General features: G+C 42.6%; 1 protein-coding gene across 7 annotated transcripts in view, besides 1 other annotated feature; it reads right to left on the reverse strand.

Annotated features, from left to right (window-relative positions):
* Positions 1–5,146, reverse strand: part of UPF3B (UPF3B regulator of nonsense mediated mRNA decay) — a 47,653-nt gene extending 42,507 nt beyond the window's left edge. For all 7 annotated transcript variants that reach the window (XM_017029738.2, XM_047442375.1, XM_017029739.2 and 4 more), the window contains exons 1-3: positions 4,956–5,146; positions 3,950–4,056; positions 3,678–3,784 (exon numbers count right to left, since the gene is read on the reverse strand). In XM_017029738.2, the coding sequence (XP_016885227.1) occupies positions 3,678–3,784; positions 3,950–4,056; positions 4,956–5,111 (370 nt within the window). In that variant the 5' untranslated portion in view covers positions 5,112–5,146. The remainder of the gene's footprint in view (positions 1–3,677; positions 3,785–3,949; positions 4,057–4,955) is intronic.
* Positions 5,121–5,180: an enhancer, noted in NCBI's record as "active region_29901". NCBI's record gives its function as "activates an Ori minimal core promoter by ATAC-STARR-seq in GM12878 lymphoblastoid cells {active_cell/tissue: GM12878}" and the evidence as "EXISTENCE:reporter gene assay evidence [ECO:0000049][PMID:35858748]".

A 16,169-nucleotide genomic window follows, 5' to 3' on the forward strand; every position in this document is an offset into this window, starting at 1 on the left:
ATTTCTCGGTATATATCCAAAAGCAGTGAGAACAAGGACTCGAATATGTGCACATCTGTGTTCATAACAATATTGTTCACAATAGCCAAGAGTGGAAGCAACTCGAATACCCCTTGACAGATGAATGGATACACAAAATGTGGTATATACATATACTGGAATATTAGTCTTAAAAATGAGGCTGGGGGCAGTGGCTCATGCCTGTAATTCCTAGCATTTTGGGAGGCTGAGGCAGGCATGTCACTTCAGGTCAGGAGTTTGAAACTAGCCTGGCCAACACAGTGAAACCCCATCTTTACCAAAAGTACAAAAAAATTAGCCAGCTGTGGTGGTGGGTACCTGTAATCCCAGCTACTTGGGAGGCTGAGGCTGGAGAATTGCTTGAACCCAGGAAGCGGAGGTTGCAGTGAGCTGAGATCGCGCCACTGCATTCCAGCCTGGGCAACAAAGTGAGACTCCATCTCAAAAAAAAAAAAAAAAAAAAAAAAGATGAAAATTCTGACACATGCTACGACATGGATACACCTTGAAGATATTATGCTAAATGAAATAAGCCAGACAGACACTGTATGTTTCCACCTATATGTGGTACCTACAGTAGTGAAACTCATACAGACACAAGGTATAATGGTGGTTGCCAGGGGCTGGAGGAAGGGAAATAAGGAGTTGTTTAATGGGTAAAGAGTTTCAGTTTTTCAAGATGAAAAAGTTCCCAAGATTGTTGCACAACAGTGTGAATATACCTTAATGCTACTGAACTGTACACTTAAAATGGTTAAGATGGTAAATTTTATGTTACGTGTATTTTTACAATTTTTAAAAATGCAAAAGGAATGAGGTAATGATATATGTTATATGTTACAACATGGATGGACCTTGAAAACATTGTGCTAGGTAAAAGAAGCCAGTCAGAAAAGACCACATATTGTATGATTACATTTATATGAAATGGAGGGAAATCATAGATACATAAAGTAGATTAGTGGTTGCCAGGGGCTGGAGGGAGAGAATGGGAGGTAACTACTAATAGATATGGGTTTCTTTTTGGAGGGATGAAAACATTCTGGAATTAGTACTGATGGTTGTACTACCTTGTGAATATACCAGAAACCACTGAATTGTACGCTTTAAGAGGATGAATTTTATTATAGGTGAGTTATATTTCAATACAAAAACCCCAAGTGACTAATGGGAAAAAAATTCACAAGCACCCTGTCACAGAATGTCAAAAACAAGGTATCCTATCCTTAAATCATTGGCATGTAGACATAAGCAGAAAAATAAAAATAAACAGAATTGACCAGAAGGCACTGCAAAGCAGTCATGGAGGAAAAATTATGTTGGGAATCCCAGTGAGTAGAGAATCAGATTAGCTTCAAAACTGTGATATATTAGGCCAGGCATGGTGGCTCACGCCTGTAATCCCAGCACTTTGGGAGGCTGAGGCGGGTGGATTGCTTGAGGCCAGGAGTTTGAGACCAGCCTGGCCAACATGGTGAAACCCCATCTCCTAAAATTACAAAAATTAGCTGGGCGTGGCGGCACACACCTGTAATCCCAGCTAAGTCGGCAGGCTGAGGAACGAGAATTGCTTGAACCCAGGAGGCGGAGGTTGTAATGAGCCAAGATTGTGCCACTGTACTCCAGCCTGGGCGACAGAGTTAAGACTCTGTCTCAAAAAAAAAAAGAGAGAGAGAGAGAAGAAAAAGAAAAAAAACAAAAATAAAAACCAAAAAACAAAACTGTGATATATTTGAGAAGGAATAGATAAACCAGACTGAAACAGAGGGAAATTGTGGAAGACAGGCTGAAGAAACAGAAGTGAGGCCAGAATATGGAGGACCCTGACTACCAGGCTAAGGAGTTTGGACTTTTTCCCCCAACTGTTAATTTAAATCATTATTTTCAAAAAGATTAATTTCATGGCAATATAATAGACTGAATTATACAAGAATGAAAAAAATGGAAAATCCTGTAAGTTTAGAGACAGTGGTTGTCTAGGCATTAAGTGATGAGGACATAAAGTGTGACTGTTTAAGGCTAGGTGAACAAGATATTAAAAAAAAACAATAAAATCCAGCCTGGGCAACATAAGCAGACCTTGTCTCTAAGATTTAAAAACAAAACAAAACAAACAAACAAACAAAAAACACAATGAGGAAAGGATAGTCTCTTTAATAAGTGGTGTTGAGCTGGGTATGGTGGCTCGCACCTGTAATCCCAGCACTTTGGGAGGCTGAGGTGGGGGGGGGGAAATCACTTGAGCCCAGGAGTTCAAGACCAGCCTGGGCAACGTAGTGAGACCCCATCTCTATAAAAAATTTAAAGAAAATTAGCCAGGCATGGTGACATACATCTGTAGTCCCAGCTACTCAGGAGGCTGAGGTGGGAGGATTGCTTGAGTCCAGGAATTCCAGGCTGCAGTGAGCTCTGATTGCGCCACAGCACTCCAGCCTGGGTGGAGACCCTATCTCAAAAGATAAACAATAAATTGACAAGATTCATAACTTACATGTAAGAGATTTTTAAAAAAGGAAAAAATTAAACACAACTCAGATTTCCAGGCTAAGTAACTAGAATCTAGTTAAATATCTACTGGAATAAAATAGTTGGAGTGGAAAAATAGCTGGCTTGGGGAGATTAATAAAAGTTGGACAAACAGTGGCAATCCTTCAATTTTTACTGGCATAGTCCCTGACAAAAATTTAATTTTTACCAACTTTGAAGTAATATTGAAAAAAACAAAACAAAACAAGAAGACACACTATTTACCTATAATTGCAAACCAAAAAGAAAAGTGGCAAATGGCAGCTTAGATATTCTCTGGCTAAATGTAGGTAGCAGATAATAGAGTGTTAAAGTAGAAATGTGTCTTCCCTATAGACTGGACCTTTCTGGATATAAAGTAAGAGATGTATCAAGTTTCTTTTTTTCGATTTTGAGACAGAGTCTCGCTCTGTCGCCAGGCTGGAGTGCAGTGGCGTGATCTCAGCTCACTGCAACCTCTGCCTCCCAGGTTCAAGCGATTCTTCTGCCTCAGCCTCCCAAGTAGCTGGGATTACAGGCGTGGACCGCCACGCCTGGCTAATTTTTTTAGCATTTTTAGTAGAGATGGGGTTTCACCACGTTGGCCAGGCTGGTCTCGATCTCCTGACCTCGTGATCCACCTGCCTCGGCATCCCAAAGTGCTGGGATAACAGGCGTGAGCCACCACACCAGGCCGAGATGTATCAAGTTTCATGTTTTAATTATATACAACTTTGTGAGAATGTTAAACAGTATCCCAATTGGGAACTGTTGGCTTAATGGATTTGAATTAAATAAATGTTTGTCCTCGAAGCAAAATAAGAAGTAAATATTTAAAACTTATCAAACAAGTTTAAGAGTCACTTATCAGTACTGCGGCTGAAATTCTACAGTCAAAACAGCAGGTTTAAGCCAGGGCAAAAAATGTGTCACACGAGGAGAAAACAGTTGCAATTTCACTCAGTTGATCAAACTAAAAAAATAGTAGGTTAATAAAAATAACCAAGGACTGTGAAAAGTCACGTCTATTTATAAGACTGCAATAAGCTTATTAAATGTGTAAAACTCTAGGAAGCAACGCAATGCACGAGTTGTCTTAAACATACAAATGACAAAGAAATTCCCTTTTTACTTCAGTTACCAGGACTCACCTTTATTGTCAAGGAATACATAACCATCAAAGCGATCCCTGAACAAAATAATGTCCTCTTGGTTTTTAAAGTTGATGTATGCTCTGGCATACATATGAGGATACAAACTGCAGAGAGGAAAGCAATTATGTAAATGTACTCGCAGGTGTCTGGCCCAATTACAAGTATGCATATATTAAAGACAAGCTCAAAAATCAAATGAAAAACAGTAGGATAAAAAGAATGAAAGAAACCTTTTTCATTTACCCCTTTCCTTTTTTTTTTTTTTTTACCTCGTATCATTAGAAAAAAACTCAAAATAATCATGCTCAGGCATAGGTTGAAGATGTTCCTGAAGCTGCTCCTTGGTCAAAGTGGGAGGTAATCTTCGAATTACCACCTTAAGAAATGCATAAGGAAAATAAAATTAGTACAAATCAGTTTTCTGTCATACCTGAAAGAATCACAGTTCCTGAAGAAGGCTGGGCTTTAAAATATGAGATCACTTGTAAAAACCCAGGAGAAAATATTCTTCTGCAGCCCAATGCTCAGAATTAGTCAAACATAATAGTAACGCGGTTTAAAAAAACCCTTGGAAATGAGAACCACCTGGAGCAAGGAAAAATCGCAGGTTTTGCTCTTTACAGCAGCCCTGCAGTTTACCAGGTTTGTGCATCATTTTCGATCACCCATTTTTTAACAGATCTAGTGGCAATAACTTAGTAAGCCAACGCTGGTCTTTGTGGGTGCCACGAAATCTTGATTTAGCAACAAGTTTCTCCCACGTCCAACACATCTTAAAACAAAATCCTTGCCCATTGAACTTAAGAATTCAAAACTCTAACGAATACAAAAAATCTACCCATTGCTCTCAAAATAGGATGCTCTCGATCTACCCTCCTGTACCATTAATCACCCTGCACTCTCCCCCAACTCGCCTCCATGAATAATATTCCCATCCCTCATGTCTCCTTCACTATTTAATATTTCTCCCCAATTACACCTTTAGTTCCTCATTCTTTATACCGTCGCTCTTCCCTCCCATTATCATCTCACAGCTCTGACCTAAACCCTTCCCGTTTGGGGAGTCCCCTCTTTTCCTCACCCCCACCCAGGATTTGGCCGGGAGGGGCTCTCCCCATTTCGGGTGAATGGATGAACCAGGATGATGCGACTTCCATTCAGGCGAAGAGATAGAAGGAGAACCTGAGAAAGAAAGGGGGCAGCCCCATTCCCAGCCATCCTCCCCGCGCTGCGGACTCGTCCCGCCCTCTCCCGGGCCAGCGGCCGACCGGGCACCTTGCTCAGCGCTTCTTTCTTCTCCTTGTTGCGATCCTGCTTATCTTCCCCCTTGGAGCTGTCCCCCGAGGTCCCACCACCGCTGCCTGTGGCCCCGGCGGGGGTTAACAGGGTTACTCGCTTCTCCTTAGGCCTGTGCTCCTTCTCTTCCTTCATGGCTACGTCCCCCGCTGAAGCGGCTTGGCCGGAACGGGGTTACCCCGGGCACAAACGGCTCCCGGGAAGCTCCCGTCAAAGCTCCGCCCCCAACAAATGCCCCTTGTGATAAGTCGGGCCCCACGTTCCATTGGGTCCTGCCAAGCTCTCGCGAGACTTGGGCCTTTCCCAGTGCAAAGGTTTTAACACCTGGTTTTTACTTCCCGCCCGCCAAGTTCCTGCGCCACCCAATCCCCTCGCGGCCCAGACTCCCTCGGGGCCCGCCCCTTCGCGCGTCATTAGCAATTCCGCCATCTTGAAGTGACTCTGTCGGGGACTACAAATCCCGGCATACAAAGCAGCTACCCGCTTTTGTTGGGCGTTCAGGGGCCAGAGCTATCTCAGGGTCCCTGTTTGTGAGTAAATCGAATCCTTTCATCTTCAGAGTTTTCCAGGTCGAAAGATAGGTTCTTCACGCTTAGTTTCCATCAGATAAACTCAATGCCGTCCAAATTTTGCCTCACTAGGGGAGCGACTTGTATTTTTTATCATTGAATTCAGAGGCTTTAGCATTTATTTTCCTACAACTAAAAGAAAAAGCCTAACATTTAAAAAACTTTATTTTCCTTATATTGATTAGGATTTACAGATACTTAGTAAATACTACAATATTAGCCGAGTTCAGTGGCGCACGCCTGTAGTCCCAGCTGCTCGGGAAGGTTGAGAAGAGAGGATCTTGAGCCCAGGAATTCGAGGCTGCAGTGAGCCATGATCGCGCCGCTGCACTCCAGCTTGGGCGACAGAGCGAGACCCTGTATATAAAAAAGAAGGATAATAATAAATAAACACAAGATACTGATATTTAAAGGAGTAATATGACTAAAATATACAAGATTTGTTTTCATCACCTTATTTTAGCAAAAGGATCCTTCTCCCCAGGTACTGATGTCCCACAGGGAGGGGAATAAAAATAAAACCCAACTTGATTTAGTTGCGATCACCATCTTCACTTAAAAAGGGCCAATTTTACATTATTTATAATAACTCCAAACTGGAAACAATCCAAATGTGAATCTAACAGTGATTATGTTGAGTGACAGAATCTAGACACAGAGTACATGTTGTACAATTCCATTTATATGAAATTTTAGAAAAATAAAACCACAGTGATAGAAAGCAGATCAGTCGGCCAGGCGTGGTGGCTCACGCCTGTAATCCCAGCACTTTAGGAGGCCAAGGTGGGTGGATCACCTGAGGTCAGGAGTTCGAGACCAGCCTGGCTAACTTGGCGAAACCCTGTCTCTACTAAAAACAAAAAAAATTAGCAGGGCGTGGTGGCACATTCCTGTAATCCCAGCACTTTGAGAGGCCGAGGCCGGCGGATCACCTGAGATCAGGAGTTCGACACCAGCCTGGCCAACTTGGTGAAACCCTGTCTCTACTAAAATACAAAAATTATCTGGGCATGGTGGCAGGCGCCTGTAGTCCCAGCTATTTGGGAGGCTGAGGCAGGAGAGTCACTTGAACCTGGGAGGCGGAGGTTGCAGTGAGCCGAGGTTGTGCCACCGCACTCCAACCTGGGTGACAGAGTGAGACTCCATCTCAAAAAGAGAGAGAGACACAGACACCCATAGAGGACAGAAACCAAATTAAAGATGCAATAGGAGCCCAAGGCAGAAAGCTGCCTAAGGGCCAACTCCCATTTTTGCCGACCTCTAGAATATATTCCCCTGACTCTGCACTTAAATTTTCTCACTCCAATTGTCCAGCCTATTCTTGGATTCCTATTCCTGTGGCTAAAACGGTTTCCCTGTATTTGACATCTGTTACTCTTGCTTTCAGTACCTGGCCGTTCTTATGAGCCTTGTTTATGCATCTGCCTCTGACCTACTGCTTAGCTCTGCACTTGCATGTTGGTAGTGTATGCCTCTGTTTTGGTGTCCTCACTAGCTTTAAACCACCAGCTGTTTGTCAGTTGCCAGAATAAAGTGTCCCAGGGCTCAGTCCTTAGACCTCTTTTCTATGTACACTCACTCCTTTATTAATCTCATTCATTCTTTTGGCTTTTCTGTCTTTGCTGACAACTCTACTCTAGAATTTACATGTCCAGGCCGGGCGTGGTGGCTCACAGCTGTAATCTCAGCACTTTGGGAGGCCGAGGCGGGTGGATCACCTGAGGTCGGGAGTTCGAGACCAGCCTGGCCAACATGTGACATCCCGTCTCTACTAAAAATACAAAAAAATTAGCCGGGCGTGGTGGCAGGCAGCTATAATCCCAGCTACTCAGGAGGCTGAGGCAGGTGATTCGCTTGAACCCAGGAGGTCGAGGTTGCAGTGAGCCGAGATTGTGCCAGTGCACTCCAGTCTGGGCGACAGAGCGAGACTCCGTCTCAAAACCAAAACAAAACAAAAAAAGAATTTACATCTCCAGCCCATACCTCCCTGATGATTTCCAGAGTCATGTATCCAACTGCCTATTGAACATCTCCACTTAAGACGTCTAACGTGTTCAGCCACCGAATGCATCCAAAACTGAACACTTGATCTTCCCCCACACCAACTGTATTAGCCTCCTATTCCTGCTGTAACATTACCACAAATTTAGTGGGTTTAAATAATGCAAGTGTATTATCTTACAGTTCTGTAGGTTAAAAGTCCAACAAGGTTTTAGCTTTGTCCTGTGAGGGGGCAAAAAAATATAGTAATAATAAATAAACAAACAGTCCAATATGGGTCTCACTGGGCTAAAATCAAGGTGTTGGCAGGACTGAGTTCCTTCCTGGAGGCTCTAGGAGATAATAGATTTCCTTGTCTTTTTCAGATTCTTGAGGCGGCCCATATTCCTTGGCTTATGAACCCTTCGTCTTCAAGCATCTCTCTCTGACCCTGCCCCTACTTCTGTCTATTGTCTATATCTCTTTTATTCTCTGCCTTGCCATTCCAAGTTTTTTTTTCAGGGTCACAGTTCACTGAAGGCTTAAACTCCTGAGCTGAAGTGATCCTCCTGCCTTAGCCTCCCAAATAGCTGGGACTACAGGTGCATGCCACCATGCCCAGCTAATTTATTTTCATTTTTGTAGAGAAGGGGTCTCACTGTGTTGCCCAGGCTGGTCTCCAACTCCTGGCCTCTGCACTTTCCCCTTTCACTTTGAAGGACTCCTGTGTTTACATTGTGTCCGCCTGTAAAATCCAGGATAATCTCCCTATTTTAAGGACAGCTGATTAGCAACATTAATTTCCTTTTGCTATATAACCTAACACAGTCATGGGTTCTGGGGATTAGGATGTGTACAACTTTGGGGGAGATATTATTCTACCTAACACATACTGTAGACTTCCTTTTTGATGAAACTTTTAATTGCAGTATAACAGATGTACAGACAAGTGCACTAAAAGTAAGCATCCAGCTTGCTGAATTTTCACAAAGTGAACACACTTATGTAACCAGCATGTAGATCAAGAAACAAAACATTGCCAGCACTCCAGATGCTCTCTTCCTACTTGTTCCCAGTCATTTTCGCCACCAAGAATACCACTATCCTTTTTGCTTTTTCTTTTTTAGCAGCTACATCCTTTTATGAATGACTTCTAATACTATTGAGTTTGTCTGTTTTGAACTTTATGTAAATTGAATCATACAGCATGTATTCTTTTATGTTAGGCTCCTTTCTCTCAACATTTATGACTGAGATTTCTTTATTTATTTATTTAGAGACGGAATCTCGCTCTGTCGCCCAGGCTGAGGTGCAGTGGCGCCATCTTGGCTTACATCTTGGCTCACTGCAACCTCCACCTCCCGGGTTCAAGCGATTCTTCTGCCTCAGCCTCCCGAGTAGCTGGGAGTACAGGCGTGTGCCACCACGCCCGGCTAATTTTTGTATTTTTAGTAGAAATGGGGTTTCACCATATTGGCTGTTGGATACAGTGAGATCTAGATCTCTCTTCAAAGAATCAGTATGTCAGTATGTTCAGTTCTTTGTCCTCCATTGTAAAGTTTAACTTCCTCGTAGTTTCAGTAAACAACATTTTCCACCAGTTTTCATCAGTAGTTCACATCTGTTCCCCTGGTTACCTGCTCCGTCCTGACTCACCCCGGTCATCCGCTTTGACCTGAGTCACCCCTGGTCCCTGCTCTGACCTAAGTCACCTTTAGTTACCTGTTCCTAACCGTCCTTCCCACCAAACTATTCACCCCGCCACTCTGGCTCATACCCCTGGTCTCTTTAAAGTAGCCAATCAGAATTAGCTTAGACTGTGCAGTCCAACCCTAGCCAATAGGGGAGCGACACAGCAGTAGGGGCTACCTGTGTCAGGAATAAGAACCCCTTCCCCTCCCTTGTTCAGGTGTGCTCTTGCCATTACTCCATTCACGAGTCGCACCCTTCTATAGAAGTAAAAATTGTCTTGCTGTGAAAATTAAATTTATGTTCGAGTGCTATTTCTTTGTGGCACCGAGGAACAAGCATTTTGTTTCTAACATTGGCCAAGCTGGTCTTGAACTCCTGACCTCGTGATCCGCCCGCCTCGGCCTCCCAAAGTGCTGGGATTACAGGCTTGAGCCACCACGCCCAGCTTATTTATGTTATATGTAGCTGTGGATTATTCCTTTTCACTGTTACATAATATTCCATTGTATGAGTCTGCTGCAATTTATCCCACTCTTAGGGGCTAATACAAATAGTGCTGCTGGGATTTTAGTGCATATTGTTTGATGATTCATGTCAGATACATACCTAGGAGTGGAATTGCTGGATCACAGAGTAAGCATATGCTCAACTTTAGTAGGTACTACCATAGAGTTTTCCAACAGGGTTGTACCAATTTACACTTATCAGCAGTGTGTGAGAGTCCTGAGTGCTTCATACCCTTCCCAACATCTGGTATTGTCTCGTGGGTGTGTAGGGGTGCCTCATTGTAGTTTCACTTTGCATTTCTCTAATGATTAAGTTAAGCACCTTTTCATACATTTTTCACTGTGTGCCTTTCTATCCTTTTGGTTATTGCACCAGGTTATTATATTATTTATGCCAGAGCAAAAGAAACAAAACAAAACAGGGATGGTGATATGGCTCCTTTCCACCAAGTAAGGGGGAGAACAAGAATAAGTGTGTGCGTGTGTGTGACAGAGAGGGAGAAAGAGAGCTGTCCCTAAAGTTCCTCACACCACTGATTCTCACAGTTTCACTGTATGCTCCAAGGTTCCTCTTCCCACTTCTGATGATGAGCAGTATCATGTTTGGGACCCCATTTTAGAAAAGTAGAAGGAGGCTCTGCCTGTAATCCCAACACTTTGAGAGGCTGAAGTGGGAGGATTACTTGAGCCCAGGAGTTCAAAATCAGCCTGGGCAACATGGCAAAACCCGTCTCCACAAAAAATTAAAAAATTAGCCGAGTGTGGTGGCACACACCTGTGGTCTCAGCTACTCAGGAGGCTGAGGCGGGAGGATAGCTTGAGCCCGGGAGTTAAGGCTGCAGTGAGCTGTGATCGCGCCACTGCACTCCAACCTGGGTGACTGAACAATACCTTGTCTCAAAACAAACAAACAAACAAACAAAAACCCAGAAAGAAAATATCTATACACAAATGGAAGAATCTTACTTTAAAACATCTTCCCTGCCCTCCATTGAACAGGCTACTTTTAATAAATTGTCTTGCCCGTTTTTTATTAATTCCTTTCACAAATAAAACTCCTTGTGGAAATCTTGTGGAACTGCCTGGTGTTCAGCTCCATCTAGCTTAAAGGTGGTTTAATATCCAATTTTAAGATCAAGTTGACTTTTATTTAAATGTTATATTCAATGTTGTTTTTAATTAATTCTTGACCCAGATCAGCTCTGAAATTATCCAAATTCTAAACAGATAATTAGGAAAGGAGTTGGATAATTTGTACAGTACAAAAAATTATTTCACATGAGCGCCTGCTGATCCTAATATTACCTATGAAAGAAAGGGTAATATTTTATGAATTAGCCAAGTTAAAAATATGTATGAGAACGTTGGACTCCTTCCCAGTCAGTGCATAAAGGAGGCTTACATAGTATAATTATTTGAAGTACCTTCCCACAGTTTAAGGATTATAACGAAAGATGTTAACCAGCTATTCCTGATGTCTACTGATGACATAAAACAGGAGGAGGTGGCCGGGCGCAGTGGCTTGATAATCCCAGCACTTTAGGAGGCCGAGGTGGGCAGATCACTTGAGGTCAGGAGTTCGAGACCAGCCTGGCCAACATGGTGAAACCCCATCTCTACTAAAAATACAAAAATTAGCTGGAAGTGGTGGCGAGCACCTGTTATCCCAGCTACTTGGGAGGCTGAGGCAGGAGAATCACTTGAACCTGGGAGGCGGAGGTTGTGGTGAGCAAGATTGCACTACTGCACTCCAGCCTGGGCAACAGAGTGAGACTCTGTCTCAAAAAAAACAGGAGGAGCTAATGAACAATATAAGGAATTCAGTCACATGGGAAACAGAGATGAATTTCTCAATTAAGAAAAGTTTTTAGTTTAAAATTGGTAGCTGAGCCTTGGAGGAGTGACATTAGATTCTGAGGGAGAATACAAGTTGAGTATGCCTTATCTGAAATGCTTCAGGCCAGAAGTGTTTTGGATTTCAGAAGTGTTTCGAATTTTGGAATATTTGCATATATGTAATGAGATAACTTGGGGATAGGACCCGAGTCTCAACATGAAATTCATTTATGTTTCATATGCCCCTTGTACACAGAGCCTGAAGGTAATTTTAATTTTTTCCTTGGAGACACTGAATAAACTGTGTGTCGTGTGCCTGTGTTTTGTCTGTGGCCTGTCCCACGAGGTCAGGTGTGGAATTTTCCACTTGTGATATCATGTCAGTGCTCAAAAAGTTTCAGATTTTGGGGCATTTCAGATTTTGGATGCTCAAACTGTACCACACATGTAAACTTTATTTATTTATTTATTTATTTTTGAGATGGAGTCTCGCTCTGTTGCCCAAGCTGGAGTGCAGTGGCATAATCTCGGCTCACTGCAGCCTCCACCTCCCAGGTTCAAGCTATTCTCCTGCCTCAGCCTCCCAAGTAGCTGGGATTACAGGCGCCAGGCATGGGACTAATTTTTGTATTTTTAGTAGAGACGGGATTTCACCATGTTGGCCAGGCTGTTCTCAAACTCCTAAGCTCAAGTGATTCTCCCGCTTCGGCCTCCCAAAGTGCTGGGATTACAGCCATGAGCCACCGCACCCAGCCGCACTCATGTAAACTTGTAAGTAAATCCAGTAAGCTTTAAAAATCCTGAAGTTGTGTAATTTTCTCAGGGGAATAATTTTACAGGTATAAGCGTAGAAAATTATCAGTTCTATTTCTATAATGTAGACTTAGAAAGATCCTGTGTACTGAGAGTGAGATGAAATTTGGACAAAAGGAGACTTATGGACTTTCACAACAACAAAACAATCATGATCAAAGCTTATTTTTGCCCTGTGCTGGGCACTTTGTGTGCGTTGACTTGGTTAGTCCTCACACCAGCCCTATGAATTGGGTACTGTTGTTTTCCCTATTTTGCAATGAGTGAAATTAAGACACGTGGTCACTCAAACCCAAAATTACATGGCTAGAAAGTAATACAGCTGATTCATAAATCTAAATTACATCTCCAAGGCTGGTAGTTAAAAAAACAAAACAAAACAAAACGAAAACCCTAAATCCTGTGAGTTTGTGTAGGGGCTATTAAAAAAAACTAGAAAAAATTATAGAGTTATCTTAAAAATACTGGTAAATTCTCAGATGTAAAAGTAATGTTAATAAAATTAATAAAATGTTTGTTACATTACAAAAATATGAAGAGATTATTTATGTCAAATGTTAAATGCAGTAACACATTATATGGATATGAAAGTAAGGAGGCCGGGCGTGGTGGCTCACGCCTGTAATCCCAGCACTTTGGGAGGCCGAGGCAGGTGGATCACCAGGTTAGGAGTTCAGGACCAGCCTGGCCAACAGAGTGAAACACCATCTCTACTAAAAATACAAAAATTAGCCAGGTGTGGTGGCACGCACCTGTAATCCCAGCTACTTGGGAGGCTGAGGCAGGAGAATTGCTTAAACCTAGGAGGCGGAGGTTGCAGTGAACCAAGACCATGCCATTGCACTCCAGCCTGGGCAACAGATTTGAGACTCCATCTCAAAAAAAAAAAAAAAAAAGGCTGGGCACGGTGGCTCACACCTGTAATCCCAGCACTTTGGGAGGCCGAGGTGGGCGGATCACAAGGTCAGGAGATTGAGACCATCCTGGCTAATACGGTGAAACCCGGTCTCTACTAAAAATACACAAAAAATTAGCTGGGCATGGTGGCGCACGCCTGTAGTCCCAGCTACTCGGGAGGTTGAGGCAGGAGAATCACTTGAACCTGGGAGGTGGAGGTTGCAGTAAGCTGAGATCGCACCACTGCACTCCAGCCTAGGCAACAGAGCAAGACTCTGTCTAAAAAAAAAAATAGCCAGGCGTGGTGGTACACGCCTGTAATCCCAGCTACTTGGGAGGCTGAGACAGAAGAATTGCTTGAACCCGGGAGGCATAGGTTGCAGTGAGCCGAGATCTTGCCATTGCACTTCAGCCTGGGTGACAGAGTGAGACTTCGTCTCAAAAAAAAAAAAAAAAAAAAAAAAAAAAAAAACAAAAGAAACGAATTAGATTAAAGAAAGCTCTGATATATAGAGCTCTTAAATCCCTCAGAATTTCCTGGATCATAGTAGCATCTTTTGTTTTAATGAGGTGACTCTTGGTGGGATCCTGGATAGCCTCAGGATGGGGGCTGGTTGCCAGGGGAACCAATCATGTAATTAGAGGGTTGGAACTTTCAACCCCACATCACCCCACAAACCTAGACCTCTGGGGAGGGGAGAAGGGCTGAAGGTTGAGTTGATCACCAATGGCCAGTGATGTAATCAATCATGCCTATGTAATGGAGCCTCCATAGAAGTCCCAAAGGACTGAGTTCTGAGAGCTTCTGGCTAGCTGGACATGAGTTACCTTGAGGGTGGTTCTGAGAGAGAGAGCATGGAAGCTCTGGGCCCCTTCTCACATGCCTTGCCCTACACAGCTTTTCTATCTGACTATTTGTCTATATGCTTCGTAATATCCTTTATAATAAATGAGTAAATTTAAGTAAAGTGTTTCCCTGAATTCTGTGAGCTACTCTAGCAAATTAATGGAACCTGAGGAGAGGGTAGTAGAAACCCCTGATTTATAGCTGGTGGGTCAGAAGTATAGATGACAACCTACTACTTACTATTGGCATTTGAGGTGGGGGGCAGTCTCATAGGACTGAGCCCCAAATCTCTGTATAGGATCTATGGGATCTGATGCTATCTCCAGGTAGGCAATGTTGGAATTGAATTGATTTAGAGGAGATCCAGCTGATGTCAGCTGGAGAATTGCTTGGTTGGTGTATGTGTGTATTTCCCCACACATTTTGGTGACCACAGGTGGAGTGTTCTGTGTTTCCTTGAGTGTGAGAGTAGGAAAAACACTTTGTTTTGTTTTCCTATCTTTAAAACATCCAAAAATCAATTACTGTAATAGACCATATCAGTAGAATAAAAAGCAAAAACCACATAATCATCTCAAAAGATGCAGAAAAAATATTTGCCCCAAATCCAACTCCTTTTCATGATAACAACACTCAACAAACTAGGAATACAGGGGAACTTTTCTCAACTCAGAAAAGAGCATCTACAAAAAACTCGCAGCTAATAACATACTTAGTGGTGATAGACTGGATGTTTTCCTCCTAAGATCAGGAACAAGAGAAGAATGTCTAATCTCACCACCTCTATTCAACATTGTCCTGGAAGCTCCATCAATGGCAACTGGGCAAGACAATGAAATAAAATGTATTCAGATTGTAAAGGAAGAACTAAAACTTTATTGGCAGATGACATAGTCTTGGTTCATGTACATAGAATATCGTGGTCATGTATATAGAAAATCCTAAGGAATCCACTAAAAAACAACCTGCTAGGACCAATAAATGAGTTCAGCATGGTTCCAGTATATAAGATCAATATTGGAAAACAATAAATTTTATTTCTATATGCTGTTGATGAATAATCTAAAAATGAAATTAAGAAAATTATTCTATTTGCAATAGCATCAAGAACAAAATATTAGGAATAAATTTAACAAAGGAAGTGCAATACTTATTCTCTAAATACTATAAAACATTGTCAAAAGAAGTAAAAGATTTAGCTGGGTGCAGTGGCTCATGCCTGTAATCCCAGCACTTTGGGAGGCTGAGGTGGGCGGATCACATGAGGCCAGGAGTTCGAGACCAGACTAGCCAAGAACGTGAAACCCCGTCTCTACTAAAAATACAAAAATTAGCCGGGCATGGTGGCAGGTGCCTGTAATCCCGGCTACTTGGGAGGCTGAGGCAGGAGAATCACTTGAATCTGGGAGGCAGAGGTTGCAGTGAGCCGAGATCGTACCACTGTACTCCAGCCTGGGCGACAGAGCCAGACTCCGTCTCAACAAAAAAAAAAAGAAAAAAAAAATTAGCCAGGCATGGCGTTGTGCACCTGTAGTTCTAGCTCCTCAGGAGGCTGAGGTAGGAGGATCACTTGAGCCCAAGAGTGTGAGGCTTCAGTGAACTATAATCTGGCCACTGCACTCTAGCCTGAGTGACAGAGTGAGACCCTGTCTCTTTCTCTCTCTCTATATATACATATATAAAAAGTTAAACATAAACTTAACCATATGACCCAGCAACTACACTCCTAAGTATATACCCAAAGGAATTGAAAACAGACACTCAAACAAATACATGTACACCCATAGTCAGAGCTAAAAGGTAAATGAACAAATATCCATCAACAGATGATTGGTTAATAAGCAAATTGTGTTCTATGCATACAATGGAATACTGTTTAGCCATAGAAAGGAAGTACTGATACATACTACAATGTGGATGAACCTTGAAAACTAAATGAAAGAAGCCAGACATGAAAGATTCCATATTGCAATTCCATTTATATGAAATATCTAACATAGGCTGGGCGAGGTGGCTTACGCCTGTAATCCCAGCACTTTGAGAGGCCGAGACG

Source organism: Homo sapiens, chromosome X (genome assembly GCF_000001405.40).
Source record: "Homo sapiens chromosome X, GRCh38.p14 Primary Assembly".
Lineage (NCBI taxonomy): Eukaryota > Metazoa > Chordata > Mammalia > Primates > Hominidae > Homo > Homo sapiens.